The 25,722-nt window shown below is 48.1% G+C and overlaps 5 annotated features.

Moving 5' to 3' along the window:
• Positions 6,378-6,672: a silencer, noted in NCBI's record as "tiled region #11476; HepG2 Repressive DNase matched - State 12:CtcfO". NCBI's record gives its function as "represses a minimal TATA promoter and a strong SV40 promoter by Sharpr-MPRA in HepG2 cells {active_cell/tissue: HepG2}" and the evidence as "EXISTENCE:reporter gene assay evidence [ECO:0000049][PMID:27701403]".
• Positions 6,750-7,366: an enhancer, noted in NCBI's record as "H3K27ac hESC enhancer chr17:17516315-17516931 (GRCh37/hg19 assembly coordinates)". NCBI's record gives its function as "activates a minimal SCP1, AML or CMV promoter by ChIP-STARR-seq in primed H9 embryonic stem cells {active_cell/tissue: H9 hESC(primed)}" and the evidence as "EXISTENCE:reporter gene assay evidence [ECO:0000049][PMID:30033119]".
• Positions 6,750-7,445: a biological region, named in NCBI's record as "H3K27ac hESC enhancer GRCh37_chr17:17516315-17516931".
• Positions 7,289-7,445: a silencer, noted in NCBI's record as "fragment chr17:17516236-17516392 (GRCh37/hg19 assembly coordinates)". NCBI's record gives its function as "represses an EF-1alpha promoter that drives an FKBP-Casp9 reporter gene in an ReSE screen in K562 erythroleukemia cells {active_cell/tissue: K562}" and the evidence as "EXISTENCE:reporter gene assay evidence [ECO:0000049][PMID:32094911]".
• Positions 16,907-17,407: an enhancer, noted in NCBI's record as "H3K4me1 hESC enhancer chr17:17506274-17506774 (GRCh37/hg19 assembly coordinates)". NCBI's record gives its function as "activates a minimal SCP1, AML or CMV promoter by ChIP-STARR-seq in naive H9 embryonic stem cells {active_cell/tissue: H9 hESC(naive)}" and the evidence as "EXISTENCE:reporter gene assay evidence [ECO:0000049][PMID:30033119]".

Below are 25,722 nucleotides of genomic sequence, written 5' to 3'. Positions count from 1 at the left end.
CCTGAGTAGCTGGGACTGTAAGCACACACCACCATGCCTGGTTAATTTTTGTAGGTTTTAGTAGTGACAGGATTTTGCCATGTTGGCCAGGCTGCTCTTGAACTCCTGAGTTTAAGCAATCTGCCCACCTCAGCCTCCCAAAGTGCTGGGATTACCAATGTGAGCCACCCATGCCCGGCCTTCATTTTGATTTAGTTAAAAATATTTTTAATTTTTTTTTTTTTGGAGATGGAGTTTTGCTCTCTTTGCTCAGGCTGGAGTGCAATGGCGCAATCTCAGCTCACTGCAACCTCCGCCTCCCGTGTTCAAGTGATTCTTCTGTCTCAGCCTCCCGAGTAGCCTGCCACCACGCCTGGCTAATTTTTGTATTTTTAGTAGAGACGGGGTTTCACCATGTTAGCCAGGATGGTCTCAATCTCCTGATCTCGTGATCCACCCACCTCGGGCTCCCAAAGTGTTGGTATTACAGGTGTGAGCCACCATGCCCAGCCGATTTCTATTCTTTTAAATTTGGTAAGGTACGTTTTATGGCCCAGAATGTGGTCTATCTTGGTGAATGTCTCGTGCAAGCTTGAGAAGAATAGGTAACCTGCTGTTGTTGGATAAAGTAGCTTATTTGTGTCCATTATATCCAGTTGATTGATGGTACTGTTGAGTTTAACAATATCCTTACTGCTTTTCTGTGGGATCTGTTAATTTCTGATAGAGGAGTGTTGAAGTCTCTAATACTATTGGTAGATTCCTTTATTTTTCCTTGCAGTCTGTTAGTTTTTTCTTCACATATTTTGGTGTTCTGTTGTTAGGCTCATACATGTTAAGGATTGTTATGTCTTGTTGGAGCATTGATGTCTTAATCATTATGTAATGCTCATCTTTATCCCTGAAAACTTTTCTTGCTCTGGAATTTGCTAAATTAATGTTTGAAATTAATATAGCTACTCTTGCTTTTTTTGATAAGTATTAGCATGGCCTACATTTATTTGTCCTTTTAACTTTAGTCTATATGTGTCTTTCTATTTAAAGTGGGATTTTTTAGTGGGTTTTTTTTTTGTATAACTGGGTCCTTTCTTTTCTTTTCTTTTTCTTTTTTTTTAATTTTTTTTTTTTTTTTTTTTTTTTTTTTTTTTTTTTTAGACAGAGTTTTGCTCTTGTTGCCCAGGCTGGAGTGCAATGGTGCGATCTCGGCTCACCGCAACCTCTGCTTCCCAGGTTCAAGCCATACTCCTGCCTCAGCCTCCCAAGTAGCTGGGATTACAGGCATGTGCCACTACGTCCGGCTAATTTTGTATTTTTAATAGAGACAGGGCTTCTCCATGTTGGTCAGGCTGGTCTTGAACTCCTGTCCTCAAGTGATCCTCCCATCCCAGCCTCCCAAAGTGCTGAGATTACAGGCGTGAGCCATCATACCTGGCTGGGTCTTGGTTTTTTAATCACTCTGAAGATCTCTGTCTTTTAATTGATGCATTTAGACCACTAACGTTCAAAGTGATTATTGAGCTGGGCAGGGTGGCTCATGCCTGTAATCCTACCACTTCGGGAAGTCAAGGTGGGCGGTTCACTTGTGGTCAGGAGTTCGAGACCAGCCTGGCCAACATGGTGAAACCCCATCTCTATTAAAAATACAAAAATTAGCCAGGCGTGGTGGAGTGCGCCTGTAATCCCAGTTACTCAGGAGGCTGAGGCAGGGGAATCGCTTGAACCTGGGAGGCAGAGGTTGCAGTGAGCCGCGATCACGCCGCTGCACTCCAGCCTGAGCAACAGAGCAAGACTCCATCTCAAAAACAAAAAGCAAAAACAAAAGAAACCCCAAAGTGATTATTGATATACTTGGATTAATATTTAGCATATTTGTTACTGCTTTCTATTTCTTGTCCATGTGCTTTGTTTTATTTTTGTCTCCCACTTTTTCCGCCTTTTGTGTTTTTAACTGAGCATTTTTTTTGAGATGGAGTCTCACTCTGTTGCCCAGACTGGAGTGCAGTGGCGTGATCTCGGCTCACTGCAACCTCAGCCTCCTGGGTTCAAGTGATTTTCCTGTCTCAGCCTCTTGAATAGCTGGGATTACAGGCACATGCCACCATGCCTGACTAATTTTTGTATTTTTAGTAGAGACGGGGTTTCACCACGTTGGTCAGGCTGGTCTTGAACTTCTGACCTCGTGATCTGCCCACCTTGGCTTCCCAAAGTGCTGGGATTACAGGCGTGAGCCACTGCACCCGGCCTTTAACTGATAATTTCTATTATTCCATTTTCTCTCCTTTCTTAGCTTATCAGTTCTATTTCTTCTTTTTCTTTCTAAAATGAATAGAGATGGGGGTCTCACTATGTTGCCCAGGCTGGTCTCAAACTCCTGAGCTCAAGCGATCCTCCTTTCCAAAGTGCTAGGATTACAGGCATGAGCCACCACACCCAGCCAGTTGTATTTTTTTTAAATGAATTTTTCAATGAATTCTCATTCGTTGCTATTGAGAATGCAAGATGATACAGCCACTTTGGAAGACAATTTGACAGTTTCTTACAAAACTAAACATAGTCTTACCATAAAATCCAGCAATTGTTTCCCTTGGTATTTACCCAAATGAGTTAAATACTTTTGTCCACAAGAAAACCTGCACACAGATATTTATAGCAGCTTTATTCATAATTGCCAAAACTTGGAAGCAACCAAGATGTTCTTCAGTAGGGTAATGGATAAATAAACTGTCATACATCCAGGCAATGCAGTATTATTCAATGCTAAAAAGAAATGAGCTGGGCTGGGCACAGTGGCTCATGCCTGTAATCCCAGGACTTTGGGAGGCTGAGGCGGGCGGACCAGCTGAGGTCAGGAGTTTGAGACCAGCCTGACCAACATAGAGAAACCCTGTCTCTACTAAAAATACAAAATTAGTTGGGCATGATGGCGTATGCCTGTAATCCCAGCTGCTCAGGAGGCTGAGGCAGGAGAATCGCTTAAACCCAGGAGGCAGAGGTTGTGGTGAGCCAAGATCACGCCATTGTACTCCAGCCTGGGCAACAAGAGTGAAACTCCATCTCAAACAAACAAACAAACAAACAAAAAACGATGGCTCACGCCTGTATCATGCCTGTAATCCCAGCACTTTGGGAGGCCAAGGCGGGCGGATCACCTGAGGTCAGGAGTTCGAGACCAGCCTGACCAACATGGAGAAACCCCGTCTCTACTAAAAATGCAAAATTACCCGGGCATGGTGGTTCATGCCTGTAATCCCAGCTACTTGGGAGGCTGAGGCAGGAGAATCACTTGAACCCGGGAGGCAGAGGTTGCGGTGAACAACTGCACTCCAGCCTGCTGGGCGACAGAGCGAGACTCTGCCTCAAAAAAAAAAAAAAAAAAAGAAATGAGCTATCCAGCCGTAACACATGGAGGAACCTTAAACGCACATTACTAAATGAAAGAAGCCAGTCTGAAAAGGCTACATACTGTATGATTCCAACTATATGGCATACTGAAAAGGTAAAACTATATAGACTGTAAAAGGATTGATGATAGCCAGGGGTTAGGGGAGAGGGAGGGATGAACAGGCAGAGCACAGGGGACTCTCAGGGCCATGAAACGACTCTGTATGATGTTACAGTGGTGGATGCATGTCATTATACATTTGTCCAAACCTATAGAATGTACAACACCAAGAGTGAACCCTAATGTAAAACTGTAGACTCTGGGAGATAATGATGTGTCAATGTAGCTTCATCAATTATAACAAATGTACCATCTGGTGGAGTTTGCTGTTAATGGGGGAGGATGTACATGTGTGTTTGCGGGGGAGGGGGTGTATGGGAACTCTCTGTATTTTCCTCTCAATTTTGCTGTGAACCTACAGCTGCCGTAAAAAAAAAAAAAGTCTTAATGGCCAAGAAACACATGAAAAAATGCTCAACATCACTCATCATCTGGGAAATGCAAATTAAAACCACAACGAGAGACCACCTTACCCCAGCCAGAATGGTCATTATTAAGAAGTCAAAAACAATAGGTGCTGGCATGGATGTGGGGAAAAGGGAATGCTAATACACTGCTGGTGGGAATGCAAATTAATACAACCTCTATGGAAATGAGTATGGAGAGTCCTTAAAGAACTAAAAGTAAGGCCAGGCACGGTGGCTCACACCTGTAATCCCAGCACTTTGGGAGGCCTGGGCGGGCAGATCACCTGAAGTCTTGAGTTTCAGACCAGCCTGACCACCATGGAGAAACCCCTTCTCTACTAAAAATACAAAAAATTAGCCGGGTGTGGTGGCGCATGCCTGTAATCCCAGCTACTCGGGAGGCTGAGGTAGGATAATTACCTGAACATGGGAAGCGGAGGTTGCGGTGAGCCGAGATCACACCATGGCACTCCAGCCTGGGCAACAAGAGCGAAACTCCGTCTCAAAAAAAAAAAAAAAAAAGAACTAAAAGTAGATCTACTATTCAATCCAGCAACCCCATTACTGGGTACCTACCCAAAGGAAAAGCAGTCATTATATCAAAAAGATACCTGGGGCTGGGCACGGTGGTTCATGTCTATAATCCCAACACTTTGGGAGGCTGAGGTGGGCACATCATTTGAGGTCAAGAGTTCGAGACCAGCTTGGACAACATGGTGAAACCCATCTCTACTAAATATACAAAACTTAGCCAGCGTGGTGGCATGTGCCTGTAGTCCCAGCTACTCAGGAGGCTGAGGCAGGAGAATTACTTTAACCTGGGAGGAGGAGGTTGCAGTGAGCCAAAATCACACCACTACATTCCAGCCTAGGTGACAGAGCGAGACCCTATCTCCAAAAAATTAAAAAAAAAAAAAAAAAAAGACGCCTGCACAGGTATGTTTATCTCAGCGCAATTCACAATTGCAAAGATATGAAGCCAACCTAAGTGCTCATCGACCAATCAATGGAAAAAGAAAATGTGGTATATATACACCATGGAATACTACTCAGCCATAAAAAAGAATGAAATAATGTCCTTTACAGCAACTTGAATGGAACTGGAGGCCATTATTCTAAGTGAAGTAACTCCGGAATGGAAAATCAAATAACATGTGTTCTTGCTTATGAGTGGGAGCTAAGGTATAAGTGTCCAAAGGCATACGGAATGGTATAATGGCCTTTGGAGACTCAGAAGGTGGAATGGGGAGGAAGGTGAGGGATAAATAAACTATGTATTGGGTACAATGTACACTAATGCGGTGACAGGTGCACTAAAATCCCAGACTCCACCACTATACAGTCTATCCATGTAACCAAGCTATTGAAATACAAATAAATAAATAAATAATCTTTTTCTTTTCTCTTTTTTTTTTTTTTTTGAGATGGAGTTTCACTGTCATTGCCCAGTCTGGAGTGCAGTGGCGTGATCTTGGCTCAACCTTTACCTCCCAGGTTCAAGCGATTCTCCAGCCTCAGCCTCCTGAGTAGCTGGGATTACAGGCGCCTGCCACCATGCCCAGTTAATTTTTTGTATTTTTAGTAGAGATGGGGTTTCACCATGTTGGCCAGGCTGTTCTCAAACACCTGACCTAAGGTGGTCCGCCTGCCTCGGCCTCCAAAAGTGCTGGGATTACAGGCATGAGCCACCACGCCCGGCCTTTTTTTCTTTTCAGAGACAGGGTCTCACTCTGTCACCCAGGCTGGAGTGTAGTGGCATGACTGTGGCTCACTGCAACCCCAAACTCCTGAGGTCAAGTGATCCTCCTGCTTCAACCTCCCAAAGTGCTGGGATTAGATTACAGGTGTAATCCACCATGCCTGACCTTTTTTTTATTTTTTTTATTTTTTTTTAAAGTAACTATAAGCTGGGCACAGTGGATCATGCCTGTAATCCCAACACTCTGGGAGGCCGAGGCAGGTGGGTTGCTTGAGCCCAGGAGTTTGAGACCAGCCTGGGCATGTGATGAAACCCTGTCTTTACAAAAAATGCAAAAATTCACCAGGCACGGTGGCATACACCTGTGGTCCCAGCACTTGGGAGGCTGAAGTGGGAGGATCCCTTGCACCTGGGAGGCAGAGGTTGCAGTGAGCCCAAATTACACTCCAGCCTGGGTGACAGAGCCAGGCCCTGTCTCAAGTAAATAGATAAATAAAGTAACTATAGTTCTTTAAGATCATCAAATAGCTCACTGGAGAATCACATTGTTCCAAATGGCATGTGTGTGTGTACATAATATATAGACATGTATATAATATGCAATACATACAGTTGAATTGGGATCCAGATAAGGCCCAGCACTGTAATTGATTGATATTTATATTTCTCATTTAGTCTATAGGCTCCTGGTTCCTTTCTCATTGATGCATTGCCATTTATTTGTTGAGGAAGCCAGCTGTTCTCCCTGGAGGGTCTCTGGCAGTCTGGATTTGTGCTGATTGCACCTCTGTGGTGGTGTTTCATGTGCTCCTCTGTCTCCTGTATTTTCTGCACTTTGCTGATTGGGTCTAGTTCTTACTCAGATTCAGGTTCCATTAGCTTTGATGTGAATAGCTCAGAGGCAATACTGTGCTTGTCCACTGGGAGGCTTTTCTGTCTGTGATGTTAGTAGCTGGACGCCTTAATTCAGTGCGGTCTCCATCTCTGCCTGCTCCTGGTTTGTTACAGGCAGACCTAGGCTGCTTGCCTGTGAGACGTTTCTGGACCTCTACAGGGTGGGGGTGGTGTGCAGGTTCTCAAAGGCTGTGCTTATTCTCCCCAATGTTATGAGTTCCCAAGACTGATGAACGGGACCACAGGAGGGCTCTGCAGCCAGGACTCTATCACTCAGAAGTCAGAGATGGGGGCTTCTCTCCCAGCGCTCAAGAATGGGTGGTATGTTGACAGGTCAAGGTGAGAGACAGGGCACTCGGGGCAAGGGAAACTCCTCATTGGCTTTGCCTGTGGTCCTCAAGGGGACCCACTGGACTGCCTGGTGTGTATAGAACCTGTTCTCCTGCCCATTAACCCAGTGGCCTGTGCCACTTGGAGTCACGCTGACTGGTGGGTGGTTTATAGTAGTAGAGGGACCTGGCTTTGAGTCCCAGCTCTACCTTTTTTTTTTTTTTTTTTTTTTTGAGACGGAGTTTCACTCTTGTCGCCCAGACTGGAGTGCGATCTCAGCTCACTGCAACCTCAGCCTCTTGGGTTCAAGCAATTCTCCTGCCTCAGCCTCCTGAGTAGCTGGGATTACAGGCATGTGCCACCAAGCCTGGCTAATTTTTGTATTTTTAGTAGAGACGGGGTTTCACCATGTTGGCCAGGCTGGTCTCAAACTTCTGACCTCAGGTGATCCACCTGCCTTGGCCTCCCAAAGTGCTGGGATGACCTCAGGTGATCCACCTGCCTTGGCCTCCGAAAGTGCTGGGATTACAGGAGTGAGCCACCGCGCCCGGCCAGCTCTACCTTTTACTGGTTTTGTGACCTTGGGCAAATGCATAGTTATCTGCAATTTTTCATTCCCTCATCTATAAAATGGGTATGATATTTGCACACATACATCCAGGGCTTATTTCGTGCCAGATCTGGTTTTGAGTACTTTACATATATGACTCATATTGAGTTTTCCCAGTGAGCCTATGAAGTAGCTACTACTATCTTACCCATTTTATAGATGAGGAAACTGAGGCCTAAACACATTACACCTAGGGAATGACTAAACTGAGAAACAAACCCTATCTGACCAGAGCTCACGTTCTGGATGCTACTCTAGGCATTACCCCTCTAAGCCTGTTTCACTCTCTGCAGAATGAGAGTGGTAACAGTACTTACCTCTTCTGGCTGACTTGAGGGACCCATAATACAATGCCTGCCAGGCACTCCATTCAGTACCTGCCACACAGTAGTCACTTGGCACATGTTGGCTACTATTATCCTGTTCCCAGGCCCCAGGCTCATCCTTTGTTTCCATGTTTGGCTAAACGTCATCTGCCTGGGGCACGTCCTTCTTCCTCTGGCTATTTTTAATTCCATTTCCTCGGAATTCTGGATTCTATATGTGAGTATCAGTGGTTATTTTCAGATCATGTGGGAAGGCCAGGGGTTTAGGGAGATGTGGCAGCTTCTCAGATGAGAGTAACTAGGAATACTGTGTTTATTCTGCAGAACACACTGACCCTGTGCCTCTGCTGGGAGAGTGGCTCACTTTCCATCTCCTGGGGACAGAGTCCAGCTTCATCAGAGTGGCTGGGATGGTGTCTACTGGGAAAGGGCATGGGGACAAGGTGTGGTGGGTACCCCGAAGGCTTCCTGAGAAGCACCAGGACAGGGCAGCAGGCAAGGTGGGAGGGTGGGCAACAGACCCTTGGATGCTCTGCTGTTTTATCCTCACATACTCTCAGGTATGGGGAAAACCAGGTGTGGTAGCCTCGAGAAGACGGGCCTGGGCCCTCTTGGCCCTAGGAGAAAGGACTTTTGGCAGAAGCCCCAGATACAGGACTGGAAATCAAGGCAGACACTATTGGTTGCTTTCCTAATACCTATTCCCTTTGTGCTTAAAAAAAAAAAAAAGATTCATGTGGGGAAAAGCAAGAGAGATCAGATTGTTACTGTGTCTGTGTAGAAAGAAGTAGACATGGGAGACTCCATTTTGTTATGTACTAAGAAAAATTCTTCTGCCTTGAGATTCTATGACCTTACCCCCAACCCCGTGCTCTCTGAAACATGTGCTGTGTCAAACTCAGGGTTAAATGGATTAAGGGCGGTGCAAGATGTGCTTTGTTAAACAAATGCTTGAAGGCAGCATGCTCCTTAAGAGTCATCACCACTCCCTAATCTCAAGTACCCAGGGACACAAAAACTGCGGAAGGCCGCAGGGACCTCTGCCTAGGAAAGCCAGGTATTGTCCAAGGTTTCTCCCCATGTGACAGTCTGAAATATGGCCTCGTGGGAAGAGAAAGACCTGACCGTCCCCCAGCCCGACAGCAAGGGTCTGTGCTGAGGAGGATTAGTATAAGAGGAAGGCATGCCTCTTGCAGTTGAGACAAGAGGAAGGCATCTGTCTCCTGCCCGTCCCTGGGCAATGGAATGTCTCGGTATAAAACCCGATTGTATGCTCCATCTACTGAGATAGGGAAAAACCGCCTTAGGGCTGGAGGTGGGACCTGCGGGCAGCAATACTGCTTTGTAAAGCATTGAGATGTTTATGTGTATGCACATCTAAAAGCACAGCACTTAATCCTTTACCTTGTCTATGATGCAAAGACCTTTGTTCACGTGTTTGTCTGCTGACCCTCTCCCCACTATTGTTTTGTGACCCTGACACATCCCCCTCTCGGAGAAACACCCACGAATGATCAATAAATACTAAGGGAACTCAGAGGCTGGCGGGATCCTCCATATGCTGAACGCTGGTTCCCCGGGTCCCCTTATTTCTTTCTCTACACTTTGTCTCTGTGTCTTTTTCTTTCCTAAGTCTCTCGTTCCACCTTACGAGAAACACCCACAGGTGTGGAGGGGCAACCCACCCCTACAGATTCATTTGTGAATCAGTGTTCTAAGCCAATCATGACTGTTTTAACTTCCTAGCCTCTTGTACTAGACATTTGACCCAATTCAGGCCAATCACTCTTAAAGTGGAAGTCTGCTGGGGGGATTTCTGGAAAAGCTTTTGCTGCCCTGATGAAGAGACAGATACAGTTAGCATGGCCCTAGACATTTCTCTCACCTTTGCTTGCCTCGAGCCCCAGTGTGATGATTAGAGCTATGGCAGCCATCTTGTGCCTATGAGGCCGAAGCATCAGAATAAAAAGGTCAGTATAGGGATGGCAAAGTCAAGTTCCCTCATGCTTGCAACTGCCTGCTTCGAGCTTGTGTTCCATGAAAAACAAAAAAAAACAAAAAAACACACACACAACGAAACACCTATTTGTTTACGTCTCTGTTGATCGGATTTTCTGGGGGTTTTTTTTGTTATTTTTTGCAAGTGAATGTATTCGTAATCAACACAAACAAAGGAAGACAGGGCGCGGTGGCTCATGCCTGTAATTCCAGCACTTTGGGAGGTCAGATCACTTGAGCTCGGGAGTTCGAGACCAGCCTGGGCATCATAGCGAGACTCCCATCTCTATAAAAAAAAATAAGAATATTAGCTGTGCATGGTGGTGCATGCCTGTAGTCCCAGATGAGTTGGGAGAAGTGCTTGAGCCTAGGAGGTGGAGGCTATAGAGAGCTGTGACTGCACCACTGTATTCCAAGATGAGTTGGGAGAAGTGCTTGAGCCTAGGAGGTGGAGGCTATAGAGAGCTGTGACTGCACCACTGTATTCCAGCCTGGGCAACAGAGTGAGACCCGGGTCTCAAAAAAAAAAAACAACCATACCAAACACCATAAAGGCAGAATGATCTGGCCAATCAGGGGCATCACATGCTCAGAGATTTCCACAAATAGTTCCTCAAGATTGCTGCCTACCCAGCCCACTACTGGGCCTTTGTGACATCCGCAAATCAGGCCCAGGCCTTCCCCTCAAGGGGCTCACAGTCCATCAAGAAAAAGAACACAAATTTTGTAACTGGTACAAACTATCACACAACTCTCAGGGTGGAAGAAATCCCTTTACTTTTAAGGATCAAATTAAGGCCTACTCAAGGCCCCACTTGCCAAGGTTGGCAAAAACTACAAGAGTCTAATGGAGAATGGGGTGGGCGAGGAGGGTGGAATAATTAAGGATCAGCCCTGGATCTTAGGAGTTAAACAGCCCTGAAAAACTGAAGGGGAATTTTGTCTTTCACCTTGGACGTTCCTGCTGACCCACCAGTATTAGTTAAATAAAATTAGTTGCTGTAACAAGTAAAGCTCGAAGGCCCACGGCTCTACACGATGAAGATCTATTTCACATCTGTTTCATGTCACAGTCCAACCAGACGGGATGGCAGGCCGGGGAGGCTGCATAGTCACTCAAGCACCCAGGCTCCTTCCGTCTGTGGCTCTGCTGCCCTGTAGGCCTTCAGCGTCCTCTGGCTCAGCTAGGATACTACTGGGAAGGAGAGAGCCTGGGTGGTGCGAGAATTCCATGGCCAGGCCTGGAGTGGTGACATTACTTCCTATCACACTCCATTGGCTGGAACCTGTCATGTGGCCACACCTACCTGCAAGGGGCCCTGGGAAATGGAGTCTCCACATGTGCCCAGGAAGAAGCCAAAACATGGATATCCTGGGCACCACTTGGCCCTTCAGAGGTGGAAGGCAGCGAGGTGCCCACTTACCCTCCTGGGAGGCACCACCATCTCCCAGCTTGGATTCAAGGGAGGGCAGGTCTCCTCCCCTTGAGGAGCCCACAGGCCCCATGATCCATCCAGGGATTCAGCCAGACCGAGGGCTCCCTTCTTCATCTCTGCAAGCACCTGCCTACAGCTCCTCCTCACAGCCCAGCTGGCCAATGTCCTCCATGCACCTGCACCTTCCCGGCATAAAAACCTGAGCATGGGCCATCTCCAGAGCCCACCTAGGCCCGGGAATGCCCTCTAATGCCGAAACACACACACACAACTATATTTCCACCTATAATTTGGACAGTTTCTCAGCCTTGGCACTGTTCTATTTTGGGTTGGATAATTGTTGGTTGTGAGGGCTGTCCTGCACATTGTAGAATTTTTTTTTTTTTTTTTTTTTTTTTTTGAGATGGAGTCTTGCTCTGTCACCCAGGCTGGAGTACAGTGGTGTGATCTCAGCTCACTGCAGGCTCCACCCCCCAGGTTCATGTCATTCTCCTGCCTCAGCCTCCCGAGTAGCTGTGACTACAGGCGCCCACCACCTCACCCAGCTAATTTTTTGTATTTTCAGTAGAGACGGAGTTTCACTGTGTTAGCCAGGATGGTCTCGATCTCCTGACCTCGTGATCCACCCGCCTTGGCCACCCAAAGTGCTGGGATTACAGGCGTGAGCCACCGCGACCGGCCCCTGCACATTGTAGACTTTTAGCAGCTTCCTTGGCCTCTACCCACTAGATGTCCATAGCACCCCCATCCCCACCCAGCTGTGACAATCAAAAGTGTGTCCAGACTTTGAAGAATGTCCCTAGGGTGTGTGTGTGTGTGTGTGTGTGTGTGTGTGTGCCAAAATCAGCCCCACGCAGTGGCTCACACCTGTAATCCCAGCACTTTGGGAGGCCGAGGCAGGCAGATCAGGGGGTCAGGAGTTTGACACCAGCCTGGTCAACATGGTGAAACCCCATCTCTACCACAGATACAAAAAATTAGCCGGGCGTGGTGGCGTGCACCTGTAACCCCAGCTACTTGGGAGGCTAAAGCAGGAGAATCGCTTAAACCCAGGAGGCGGAGGTTGCAGTGAGCCGAAATCACGCCACTGCACTCCAGCCTGGGAGACAGAGTGAGACTCCATCTCAAAAGAAAAAAAAAAATCAGCCCTGCTTGAGAACCAGAGTTAGCACATGCCAGAAGTTTAGATGGGAAAAATTGCTTTCTCCTTGGTGGAGGTGGGAGGTGCAGGGAGTTGGGGGAGAGGCACTTGTGGTTCCCTGATGTGTCTGTACCATCAGAAAGTAAAACCAACACGGCATTTCATTTTCCATAAAGATCATCATAGTTAAAACAATAACTGAATGAGCCAGGTGTGGTGGCTCACACCTGTAATCCTAGCACTTTGGGAGGCCGAAGCAGATGGATTACTTGAGGTCAGGAGTTTGAGACCAGCCTGGCCACCATGGTGAAACCCCATCTCTACTAAAAATACAAAAATTAGCCAGGTGTGGTGGTGCATGCCTGTAATCCCAGCTATTTGGGAGGCTGAGGCAGGAGAATTGCTTGAACCCAGGAGACAGAGGTTGGAATGAGCCAAGATCACGCCATTGCACTCCAGCCTGAGTGACAGAGCAAGACTCTGTCTCAAACAAACAAAACCAAAAAAACAGTAACTGGATGAGATCAACATTGTAATGAGGTCTCTGCTAGGCTGTGGGGGCTCAAAGGCAGGACTGACAGAATCAACTCTGCATTGGGGGGAGGCTTTGCACAGGACAAGACAGTTCAACCAGGTTGTGAAGGCTTGAAGGAGTTTGCAAAAAGGGTGACAGGAGAAGAGTTTTCAGTGGGTTTGCAAAGTTCCCCAGACATGAAAGAGCATGGTGCATTCTGGGAACTGGAGATAATTTAAATGGCTGGAGTTGGGGTGGGTACAGGGTGACCACCTTCTCCTGGATTTGGTCCCCTCCTCTCTGTTTCCATTGTCCCCCACAGGCCCCTACTGTCCCACTGGTCACCTGCTTGGCTTGTCTCACACATGGTAGATGCTCAGTAGACGCTTGCCAGTCTCTCACACATAGTAGATGCTCAGAAAATTGAATGAATGAGCAAATCAATAAATGAAAGAACTGATTCATGGAAGGGTCTCATACACCAGCCTGGGAAGATGGGATTTTGGTTTGGGCAGTAGGGAGTCATTGCAAGGTTTTGAGCAAGGGAGTCACCTGCTCCTGGGTGGAGGGTGCTTTGGAAAGGATGGAAGCTTGAGAAAGCCAGCTGTCTGGATTGTCCAGGTGCCAGCTGATGAAGCCTGAGCAGTGCTATTTCAGAGGAACAATTACGGGAGTCGATGACTGATTAGTCGTGACAGGGAGCAAGAGGGAGGGGTCTGAGTGGCGCCTGGATGTCTGGTTAGGGTGACTGGGACCTAGGATGGGGGAGGGCTGGGGTCAAGAAATAGGGAGTGGAGGGGAAGGAGTAGGAGGAGATGGGGTGAGGTGCCTGTAAGAGCTCCTCAGAGGAGTCCAGCGGGTGGATAGAGTTCAGAGTCTGAAGGAGAAGTCTGACTAGGAAGTGGAAAAGTAGAAGTCATTTATGTGTAGTGACTGGAAGAAAAAGCATGTAGTTCCATTTCCAAGGAACTGGCTTTAGCTATTCCCGCATACATACAAGGCAACAGCAGCAGCACAGATGTTTGGAGCAAGAGCAGATCTTTCCTAGAAAAACACTTTAAAGAGCCCTTGATTCCATAAAGGAAAGGCCTTGGGGTTGCCTGGAAGCGACTTCCTAGGGAGATGGAATGACGTTTTCCCTAGAGATGGAGTGGAGTAGGACTATGGGATGAAGGGCTGGAGGGACTCGCAGTGGGGGTGCCTCTGGGACGCGAAGACTGGGTCTCCCCCAGAGACAGGAGACAACCTTGAGAAGCTGTGGTTTCCAGCATTCCATTTTAAACCCCTCCTGATGTGTAGTCCCACTTCATCTTGGAATAAACAGGCAAATGACCCAATTAAAAATGGCAAAGGATCTGAGCAGACGTTTCTCCAAAGAAGATATACAGATGGCCAATAGCACGGGAAAAACTCTCAACATCATTAGCCATAAGGGACATGCAAATCAAACCACAATAAGACTTCACATCTTTGAGGATGGCTATAATCAAAGAGCCAAAGCCAAAACCAAACAAACAAAAACAAGGGCAGGATGTGGGGCAGTTGGAACCCTCGTGCATTGCTGGTGGGAATGTTAAGTGGTGTAGCCACTTTGGAAACAGTCTGAAAGTTCCTCAGAAGGTTAAGCACAGAGTAACCATGTGACTCAGCAATGTCACTCCTAGAGAATGCCCAAGAGAAATGAAAACACATGTCTATGAAAAGCTTGTACATGAAATGTTCACAGCAGCATTATTCACAATAGCACGAAAGTGGAAACAACCCACATGTCCATCAACTGAAGAACGGATAAACAAAACGTGGTGTGTACCTACAGTGGAATGTTAGTGGACCTTAAAAAGGAATGAAGGACCAGGTGCAGTGGCTCACGCCTATAATCCCAGCACTTTGGGAAGCCGAGGTGGGTGGATCACCTGAGGTCAGGAGTTCATGACCAACATGGCGAAACCTGAGGTCAGGAGTTCATGTCCAACATGGCGAAACACAACTGTCCTCACACTGAAACACAGCCACACCCATTTACATACACACTGAAAAACAGACACGCATACTCACACAGATGCTGAAACACACTCATGCTGAAACAGACATACATGCTGCAATAGACACAGATCCATACGGCAACATACACAATAAAGCAGACAGAGAGATATACACACAGACACTGAAAGACACACAGTCGCAAACACGCTCACACTCTCACACTCTCACACTAGGGGGTGGGCCCTGTTGCCGGGCTCCGGCTTGTTGCTAAAAGTGTTGGTTACGTAATAAATCCTGGGCTGAAGGAGGGTGAACCTGTCAGGAGAGGCAAGGCTGGCTTTGGGTTTCCTGTGGACTTTGGGTCACTTTGACCCATCCGGGACTCCCTGTGAGGCACTTGGCCATCTGGTGCCAAGCAGTCCATTCTAGATGCTTGTTGAGGTCGAGGGTGAGTGGGCCCTGGCGAGAGTGAGTCAGGGGCAGGGAGCACCTCTGGGACTAGGGCAAGGTGCTCTGGGGCCACCTCTGTGAAGGGCTGAGTCCTCTCCCATTCATTAACTCCAGACTGTCAGAATCCTTGAGAGTAGAGGTGACGGCTCCCTGCTGGATCCCAAGGGGCACAGTTAACAATAATAGTAATAGTGGTGCTGATGGTAGCAATGAATAACTAACATTTACTAAATACTTTCTATATACCAGGTACTATACTAAAAGCGTGATCACCTTCAATCCTCATAACAGGCAGGTCAGTACTATTACTGTACCATTATACAGATGGGGAAACAAAGATCTACTGAGGCAAAACCACCTGCCCATGCTCTGGCGTTTAGTAAGTGGTCAAGCTGGTCCTGGGAGCCAGGACGGTTCTATCAGTCAGCTATTGCTGCAGTAATGCTGCATAACAAACCGTCACAAATGCAGTGGCTTATGGCAATAAATATGTAAGCTCATGCACATGAGTCTGCAGGTTGAGTGTGGATAGACTGATCTAACCCAGCTGGGCTGGGTTGGGCAGCTGCTTCAGTCCACAGTCCAGTGAGCCCAGGCAGGGCTTGGGTGTCCCCCATATGTGCTTGTTTTGGGCCCCAGGCTAAAGAGGCAGCAGTCACCCAGGGTATATGCTTCTCATGGTATGTCACTGGAGCAAAAGAAACCAAAGCAAATTGCACAAGCACATACATGTCCTGTCCATTCTCATTCTGTGAGCCGAGGCAAGCCACATGGTCCAACCTAATGTCAATGGCATAGGGCAGCATGCTTCACCCGTGGTGACAGGGGAGTGGGGGGCCATATTAACCTCTCACTCAGGCTTAACTCAGGAACCTGGGGTCACAACTTACATGTGGCATCACCTCCATGAGTGCACAGGTGAATGGGATGGGCCACAGAGTTGGGCTGACTGGGACCAGCGTCCTGGCTCCAACCCTACCTGGCTGCTGCTTAGCCTTTCTGGGCCTCACTTTTCTCATCTGTAATATGGATTGTTACAAAGTAGAAATGGGGTAATACTTGGCACAAGGCCAGCACACAAGATGTCTTCCATACACAGTAGCAGAGATTAGTAATTATCACCTAGCTGTTCTCAGCTGGGGGCCACAACACCCTCCTTGGAGCCTTGTGGAAATGGTTGTGGGGTGTTTTGGGTTGGGGGTGAGGGCCAAGGATGCTTAACATCCTGCACTTTGCGAGACCACTTGCACACAAAGAACTGTCCCATTCAGATGCCACCTGCCCTCATCAAGACACTTGAACACCATCTAAGCCAGGCACTTCCTGTTACAGATGAAGAGGCAGGGACTGGAGAGGTGTAGCTGGGAGCATATCTGCAGCGGCTCTGAGCTCCCCAGCCCTCCCCCAGAGGCTCCTTTTGGGTTATCCCCTTGGGTCTGACATGAATTCAGGGAGTCTGCTGCAGCTGGGCTGTTGACTCATTCATAGGTGATTTTAGCCTTCGATCTCAGAGCACACAGAGCCTCTCTCCTGCCTGGCGTCAGGAGGGAGGCAAGGATGTCAGCATTAACAAGGACGCATCGACCAAGCAGCCAGGGCTGGGATGACAGCTTGCCCCTCCGTCAGTCTCGGACACTTGCTGAGACCCAGCTGCATCTGAGCGGCCCTCCTGAGAGGGGCTTTAAACGCCTCACGAGTCTGACAAATCAATAAGAACATCACATCAGCAGTGGTCATTCAGAGCAAAGAAAATAGCAAAACCTCACATGCCTTTGCAGAGGAGACGCCTGCTGTTCACCAGCAATCACAGCTCCCCGTGACATGGCACCACAGGCACCGGGGACAGAGCAGCACGCAGGTGACATTCTTGCAGAGCCTGCAGTGAGTCAGGAGGTGGCCTTAGACAAACCCACCTGAGGGGCCGTCTACAAAATACCCTGCTCGTGCTCTCCAAAAATGTCAATGTCTCTCCTGAAGGACAAAGACAGACTAAGGAGTGTTCCAGATCACAGCCTGCTAAAGACAGCACATGATCCTGGATCTGAGGAGAAAATGCACGGTAAAGGATATTGTCAGATCAATCAGAGAAATTTGAATATGGACTGTACATTAGCTAACACCATTGTATCAATGGTATACTTCCTGATTTTTTGATCACAGTACTGTGGTTTCATAGGAGAATGTCTTTGTTCTTTGGAGATTTAGGGGCAAAGAGTCTGCAACTTACCCTCAAATAGTTCATTAAAAAAAAAAATCACTGTATAGAAACTGATAAAGCAAAGGCCAGAAAATGCTGAAAACAAATCTAGGTGACACATATAGGATGTTTAATGTATAATTCTTGCAATTTTTTGTTGGGTTGGAAAATTTTCAAGGTAAAAACATTTTTCCCCCCTGAGATGGAGTCTTGCTCTGTGCCCCAAGCTGGAGGGCGGTAGTGCGATCTCAGCTCACTGCAATCTCTGCCTCCCGGGTTCAAGCAATTCTCCTGCCTCAGCATCCCAAGTAGCTGGGATTACAGGCACCCACTACCATACCTGGCTAATTTTTGTATTTTTATTTTTTTTAATTTTATTTATTTATTTATATATTTATTTATTTATTTATATTATTTTTGAGACAAAGTCTCACTCTGTTGCCAGGCTGGAGTGCCGTGGCAGGATCTCAGTTCACTGCAACCTCCAACTCCCTGGTTCAAGCGATTCTCCTGCTTCAGCCTCCCGAGTAGCTGGAATTACAGGCATGCACCACCACACCCAGCTAATTTTTGTATTTTTAGTAGAGACGGGGTTTCACTGTGTTGGCCAGGATGGTGTCAATCTCTTGACCTCATGATCCGCCTGCCTTGGCCTCCCAAAGTGCTGGGATTACAGGCGTGAGCCACCATGCCCAGCCCTAATTTTTGTATTTTTAGTACAGACAGGGTTTCACCATGTTGGCCAGGCTGGTCTCAAACTCCCGACCTCAGGTGATCCACCCGCCTCAGCCTCCCAAAGTGTTGGGATTACACGCGTGAGCCACGGTGCGCGGCAAGGTAAAAACTTTTAAGTATCGCTTAAACATTACAACAGTCCAATTCATTTAAATTAATAAATTCAAGAGACTGCAAAGACTAAGATCCATGGGTGTTTTTGTTTTGTTTTGTTTGTTTGTTTGTTTGTTTTTTGAGATGGAGTATCGCTCTGTCGCCCAGGCAGGAGTGCAGTGGCGTGATCTCAGCTCACTGCAAGCTCTGCCTCCTGGGTTCACACCATTCTCCTGCCTCAGCCTCCCAAGTAGCTGGGACTACATGTGCCTGCCATCACACCCGGCTAAGTTTTTGTATTTTTTAGTAGAGACGGGGTTTCACCGTGTTAGCCAGGATGGTCTCGATCTTCTGACCTTGTGATCCGCATGCCTGGGCCTCCTAGAGTGCTGGGATTACAGGCGTGAGCCACCGAGCCCGGCCCTTAAGATCCATGGGTGTTTTTGAAAAAAAGGCACAAAGAGAAGTTGTGTTGGTAAGTAGTGCAAATAAAGCACTATTCTAATTTAAATGAAAAGCACATGCGAAAACGTCACTAATGATGTGGGAAAGAGGCAAATAACATTTTTCAACTAATTTTTCAACTTTGAAGTAACATAAACATTTTTGGACTAATACTCTGTGCTGGTGAGTATGCAGGGAAATGGGAACTGTACTATTCTGCAGGCACTGAGCTTTAGAAAGCAGCTTGGCTGTCCTTCTGTGCTTCCAGGGTCAACCCTGAGGGATTAATCCTAAACAAGACTTCAACATTAAGCAGATCCATGTGCCACTGGAAGGAAAGAGTTTTTGGTGAGGCCCTACCCCATCCTTAGCTCTAATCAGGGCTGCCTTCAAGTCTTTTTTTTTTTTGAGATGGAGTTTCACTGTTGTTGCCCAGGCTGGAGTGCAATGGCGCGATCTCTGCTCACCGCAACCTCTGCCTCCTGGGTTGTAGCAATTCTCCTGCCTCAGCCTCCCAGGCGTGCGCCATCACGCCTGGCTAATTTTGTATTTTTAGTAGAGACAGGGTTTCTCCATGTTGGTTAGGCTGGTCTCGAACTCCCGACTTCAGTGATCTGCCCGCCTTGGCCTCTCAAAGTGCTGGGATGACAGGCGTGAGCCACTGCACCCGGCCTCAGGTCTTTTTTGTTGTTTTGTTTTGTTTTTTGAGATGGAGTCTCACTCTGTCACCCAGCCTGGAGTGCAGTGGTATGATCTCGGCTGACTGCAACCTCCGCCTCCCGGGTTCAAGTGATTCTCCTGCCTTAGTCTCTCGAGTAGCTGGTGGGGGCCACCACACCGGGCTAATTTTTGTATTTTTAGTTGAGCTGGGGTTTCACCATGTTGGCCATGTTGGTCTTGAACTCTGGACCTCAGGTGATCTGCCCGCCTCGGCCTCCCAAAGTGCTGGGATTACAGGCGTGAGCCACCGCGCCCGGCCTATGCTCTTAAACATAGTGGGATTAAACTGGAAAACAAGATGATAACTTTAAAAAAAATCTTCCAATATTTGCAAACTAGACAATACTTTTTCTTTTTTTTGAGACAGGGTGTCTGTTGCCCAGGCTGGGGTGCAGTGGCACAATCATGGATCACCGCAGCCTCGACCTCCCGAGTTCAACTGATCCTCCCACCTCAGCCTCCCAAGTAGCTGGGACTACAGGCACTTGCCACAATGCCTGGCTAAATTTTTTTGTATTTTTTGTGGAGATGGAGTTTTACCATGTTGTCCAGGCTGGTCTTGAACTCCTGGACTCAAGCAATCCATACTCCTCAGCCTCCCACAGTGTTGGGATTATAAGTGTGAGCCACCACGACGGGCCAGACAATACATTTTTTTCAACCCCAGAAACAAGGTCCAGCCTGGGTCAGGTGTCATCCATGGACCAGCAATGGGGGCCAGGGCTTGGGGTGCTATCACTGGCTCAGGGTGGGTCAGGTGACCAACTCTACTCAAGCAACAGTGGCCAGGGGAGGGGCAGGTGACCAGACTGTATGAGAAGATAGCATTTCCCATTTAATCTCACAGATAGAGGGCTGGGGTCAGGAGGAGGCATGAAGCATTGAGTGCCAACTTAGTGCTACTCGGACAGACAGAGTGCTGTGCGAATAAACAATAACAAGCAGTCCCTGCCGTGGCGGCTCAGAAGCGGCTAGGGCATAAGCAGGCCATTACCACAGAGTGGAAAACTGCTCCACAGGGGTGTGCACAGGAAGGGGGGAAAGAGCAGCATTCAAGACTTGAAGGCAGGACGGGCGCGGTGGCTCATGCCCGTAATCCCTGCACTTTGGGAAGCTGAGGTTGGCCGATCACCTGAGGTCAGAAGATCGAGACCAACATGGCCAACATGGTGAAACCCCAGCTCACCTAAAAATACAAAAATTAGCCCGGTGTGGTGGCCCCCACCAGCTACTCGAGAGACTCTACTAAAAATACAAAATTAGCCAGGCGTGGTGGCACATGCCTGTAGTCCCAGCAACTCCGGAGGCTGAGGCAGGAGAATGGCTTGAACCCAGGAGGCGGAGGTTGCTGTGAGCCGAGAATGCACTCCAGCCTGGGCAAAAAGAGCGAAACTCCGTCTCAAAAAAAAAAAAGAGCATAAACTATGATTTCAATCATTTGAAATCTGTTGAGATTGGCTTTATGCCCCAGCATAGGGTCTGTTTTGGCCAATGTTCAGTGTGAACTGGGGAAGAAGGTACATTCTACAGTTGCTAGGAGGAGAGTTCTATGAATGCCAATCATGTTCAAATCTATAGTCTTACCGATTTTTTTCTGCCTTTTCTCTCAATTACCAAGGTAAATATTTTAAACTCCACAAGATTATTTTATTTTTACAAGCACCTAATACTTATCTAGATTTACCTACACGTATGTGTCTTTTTCATTCCTTCCTGTGTTCGTGGGCTTCCAACTGGGATCATTTTCCTGCTGCCTGCAGAACCCGCCCATGGTATTTCTTTTCAGGTTGGGCCTGCTGGTGATCAATTCTCTCAGCCTTTGTTTGTCTGAAAATAGCTTTACGTTGCCTCTGCTTTTTTTTTTTTTTTTTTTTTTTTTGAGACAGAGTCTTGCTCTGCTACCCAGGCTGTAGTGTAGTGGCACGATCTCGGCCTACTGCAATCTCTGCCTCCTGGGTTCAAGTGATTCTCCTGCCTCAGCCTCCCAAGTAGCTGGGATTACAGGCATGCACCATCATACCCCACTAATTTTTGTATTTTTAGTAGAGATGGGGTTTCTCCATGTTGGCCAGGCTAGTCTCGAACTCCTGACCTCAGGTGATCCGCCCGCCTCAGCCTCCCAAAGTGCTACGATTACAGGCATAAGCCACCGTGCCCAGCCTTTTTGCCTCCTTTTTTTTTTTTTTTTTTTTTTGAGGCGGAGTCTTGATCTGTCACCAGTCTGGAGTGCAGTGGCGCAATCTCAGCTGCAACCTCTGCCTCCCAGGCTCAAGTGATTCTCCTGCCTCAGCCTCCCAAGTAGCTGGGACTACAGGTGCATGCCACCACACCCAGCTAATTTTTTTGTATTTTTAGTAGAGATGGGTTTCATCATGTTGGCCAGGATGGTCTCCATCTCCTGACCTCGTGATTCGCCCACCTCAGCCTCCCAAAGTGCTGGGATTACAGGTGAGCCACTGCGCCCGGCCACCTTCATTTTTGAAGTATATTTTCATGGGACTTAAATTCAATTCTGACCTCCTTCATTCAGCAAATATTCACCCAGTGCCATCTGGGTGCCAGGTGTGTACTGGCTGCTGGCAGGGGATGTGGAGGTGGGCAGGGCAGACGATGAGGGGACCATTCTTGATCTCCAAGAAGAGAAGGGAAGAGTGTGCCTGGCAGAGTGAACAGGAGGTGCAAAGGCCCTGTGGCTGGAAGGAACCTCAAAGAGGCCAGTGTGGCTGGAGTACAGAGGGCAAGAAGAGCTGGGAAGGTGGATTGGGCCCGGACCATCCAGGACCTCAGGGCCATTGTAAGGAAGAATGTTTTGCCTTCATCAGACCACAGGTTTCAACTCTGACACTCAGCTGTGTGACTGTGGGCCAGTACCTTCCACATGAGTCAATTACCTCATCTGGAAAGTCAGAATAACATTCCCTACCTCACAGGGCTCTTGTGAGGCTTAAAGAAAATGTGTGCTTCAAGTGCTGAGCTCAGGGCCTGCAGCCAGCAAGAGCTCAGACAGATTAGCTATTGTTTCCATGTTTAGGTTTTTTTTTTGTTTTTTTGTTTGTTTTGTTTTGTTTTGTTTTCCGAGACAGGGTCTCACTCTGCTGCCCAGGCTGGAGTGTAGTGAGCCATCATGGCTCACTGCTGCCTCAACTTCCCGGGCTCAAGTGATCCTCCCACCTCAGCCTCTTGAGTAGCTGGGACTACAGGTGCACGCCACCATGCCTGGCTAATTTTTTTTTTTTTTCGTAGAGACAGGACTTCACCATGTTTCCCAGGCTGGTCTTGAACTACTAAGCTCAAGCAATCCACCCATCTTGGCCTCCCAAAATGTTGGGATTATAGGCGTGAGCCACCACACCCAGCCAGGAACTTTAATCTTTTTTTTTTTTTGAGACAGAGTTTCGCTTTTATTGCTCAGGCTGGAGTGCAATGGTATGGTCTCAGCTCACCGCAACCTTCGCCTCCCAGGTTCAAGTGATTCTCCCACCTCAGCCTCCCTTAGTAGCTGGGATTACAGGTGCCCCCCATCAAATCTGGCTAATTTTGTATTTTTAGTAGAGACGGAGTTTCACCATGTTGGCCAGGCTGGTCTCAAACTCCTGACCTTAGGTGATCCACCCGTCTTGGCCTCCCAAAGTGCTGGGATTACAGGCGTGAGCCACCACAACCGGCCGAACTTCAATCTTAATAGGTGGGTTTGGTCTCTTATTTAGGTAACAGACTTGGTCACCCTCCCCATTCCACAGACACGGTCACTGAGGCCCAGAAAAGTGGCTTTCCCAAGATCACCCAACTCAGAGTGGCAGAGCTACAGTATTCATTCACTCATTGTATATTCAATGCCTGCTTTGTGCCAGAGCTAGGTGCCCAGGACAGGGCTGTGTACAAACAGATAGAAATCCCTGCCCTCAGGACTGGGCATGGTGGCTCATGCCTGTAATCCCAGCACTTTGGGAGGCCAAGGCGGGCGGATCACCTGAAGTCAGGAGTTCGAGACCAGCCTGGCCAACATGGCAAAACCTCATCTCTACTAAAAGTACAAAAAAATTAGCAGGGCATGGTGGTGTGTACGTGTAATCCCAGCTACTTGGGAGGCTGAGGCAGGAGAATCACTTGAACCCGGGGTGGAGGGGAGGTTGCAGTGAGCTGAGATCATGCCACTGCACTCCAGCCTGGGTGACAGAGTGAGATTCCATCTCAAAAAAAAGACATCCCTGCCCTTAGCCGGGCATGGTGGCATGCACTTGTAGTCTCAGCTATTCCGGAGACTGAGTCAGGAGGATCGCTTGGGCCCAGGATTTTAAACCCAGGGGTCTCTTAAAAAAAAAAAAAAAAGCCAGGGGTGGTGGCTTATGCCTGTAATCCCAGCACTTTGGGAGGCTGAGGCAGGTGGATCACCTGATGTCAGGAGTTTGAGACCAGCCTGGCCAATATAGTGAAACCCTGTCTCTACTAAAAAATAGAAAAATTAGCTGGGTGTGGTGGTGCGCACCTGTAGTCCCAGCTACTCCAGAGGCTGAGGCAGGACAATTGCTGGAACCCGGGAGGCAGAGGTTGCAGTGAGCCGAGATCACGTCACTGCACTCTAGCCTGGGCGACAGAGCAAGACTCCGTCTCAAAAAACAAACAAACAAAAAATCTCTGCCCTGGTGAAGTTCCCCTTATAGGGGATAGGGGATGGACAGGGAATGACACTATACAAAATAAATAAGTGCACTAAATACATTTGTTAAATGATATGGCCAATGGAGAGAAATAAAGTTGGGAGAGGCCCATGGCGAGCATGGGGAAGTCAGCATGTTCAACAGGGTGGAGAGGTGGAACTTGAGCAGAACCCAGAGGAGGTGAGGAGGGTACTGGGAGGAAATGCGGGGAAGAGCAACCCAGGCGGAGGACATAGCACATGAAAATGCCCTGTGGTGGGTGTATACCTGGGGTGTTTAGGACCTCTGGAGGCCAGCTGGAAGGCAGGGGTTTGTGCTCTGTGGACACTGTGGACACTGAGGGGCAGTGAGGCCCTGCCAGCACCAACATCCTTGCTGGTGTTTCCCAGGCTGGCCTAGGCTGTGGACAACTGGGTTCAGGTAACTTCACTCCCGTGCCCTCTTCCCAGCAAGTAGTAGGTCCTTGGGGAAGGGGCTTCTTCCAAAGCTCAGGGCAGATGGGAGTGGGGAGGGAACTCGTGATCAGGGCACACATCTCCAGATGACCTCTCCCCTGCCCCAGTTCCCACCCTGGCTACCCTCTTGTTCCTGGAGCCACCAGGGGTAGAATGAGGGCAATCAGGCCTGAGTCTATGAAGTGGGTGCTGGGCATTGCGGCCACAGCCCCTCACCACCTTCCTGGTTTTAAAGCACTCCCAGTGACAATATGGTTTCTGATAACCTGCAGTACCTGCTGTCTGGGGAGCAGCTCTGGCCACCCATCCTGGCCCCTGCCCACCCATCTCCTCCCAGGAACTCTGGCAGGTCCCTGAGCTGTCAGCCAGCTCTCCTGGCCCCCAGTGGTGTCCTAAATCCCAGCAGCATGTCCATGAGTGTGACCTTAACCACCAGATCTCAATTATATAGAAAGGAGAGAAACATTTTTTTCTTTCTTTTTTTTTGGAGACAGGGTCTCACTCTCGTCACTTAGGCTGGAGTACAGTGGCACAATCACAGCTCCCTGAAGTCTCTCTCTCCTGGGCTCAAGTGATCCTGCCGCTTTAGTTTCCCGAGTAGCTGGGAGTACAGGCACGTGCACCACACCCGGCTAATTTTTTTTTGGTATTTTTTTTTGTAGAGATGGGGTTTTGCCATGTTGCCCAGGCTTGTCTCGAATTCCTGGGCTCATGCAATCTGCCTGCCTTGGCCTCCCAGAGTGCTGAGATTACAGGCATGAACCACTGCGCCTGGCCTGGACATTTTCTTAGAACCCACTGTATGCCAGGCACTTTTGTACGAGTTATTACCTCTAATCCTCACAACAGCCTCACTCGAGATATTATACTCAAGAGATATTCTATGATATAAATATTATTATGTTTTATGAACAGAAAATAGATTCAGAGTAGGGAAAGGTTTAGGTTTTACCCAAAGGCACCCAATAAACACATGTTAATTTTAGCACTAAAACCCCATTTTAATGATTGCTGGGAGTTTCTGCAGCCTGATTCATAATTCAGGAGCCAGGGAGGTGGGGTTAGAGAAAAGAGAGGCCATCAGGAGGTTTGCCCTGGGAGCTGTTCCATGATAAATGGTTTCCTATATCTGAAGAGCTCAATCAAGGGGC

The sequence above is a fragment of the Homo sapiens genome, chromosome 17, assembly GCF_000001405.40.
Source record: "Homo sapiens chromosome 17, GRCh38.p14 Primary Assembly".
Lineage (NCBI taxonomy): Eukaryota > Metazoa > Chordata > Mammalia > Primates > Hominidae > Homo > Homo sapiens.
The sequence above is the reverse complement of the archived record's forward strand: the minus strand, read 5'-3'. Positions and strand labels throughout refer to the sequence as shown.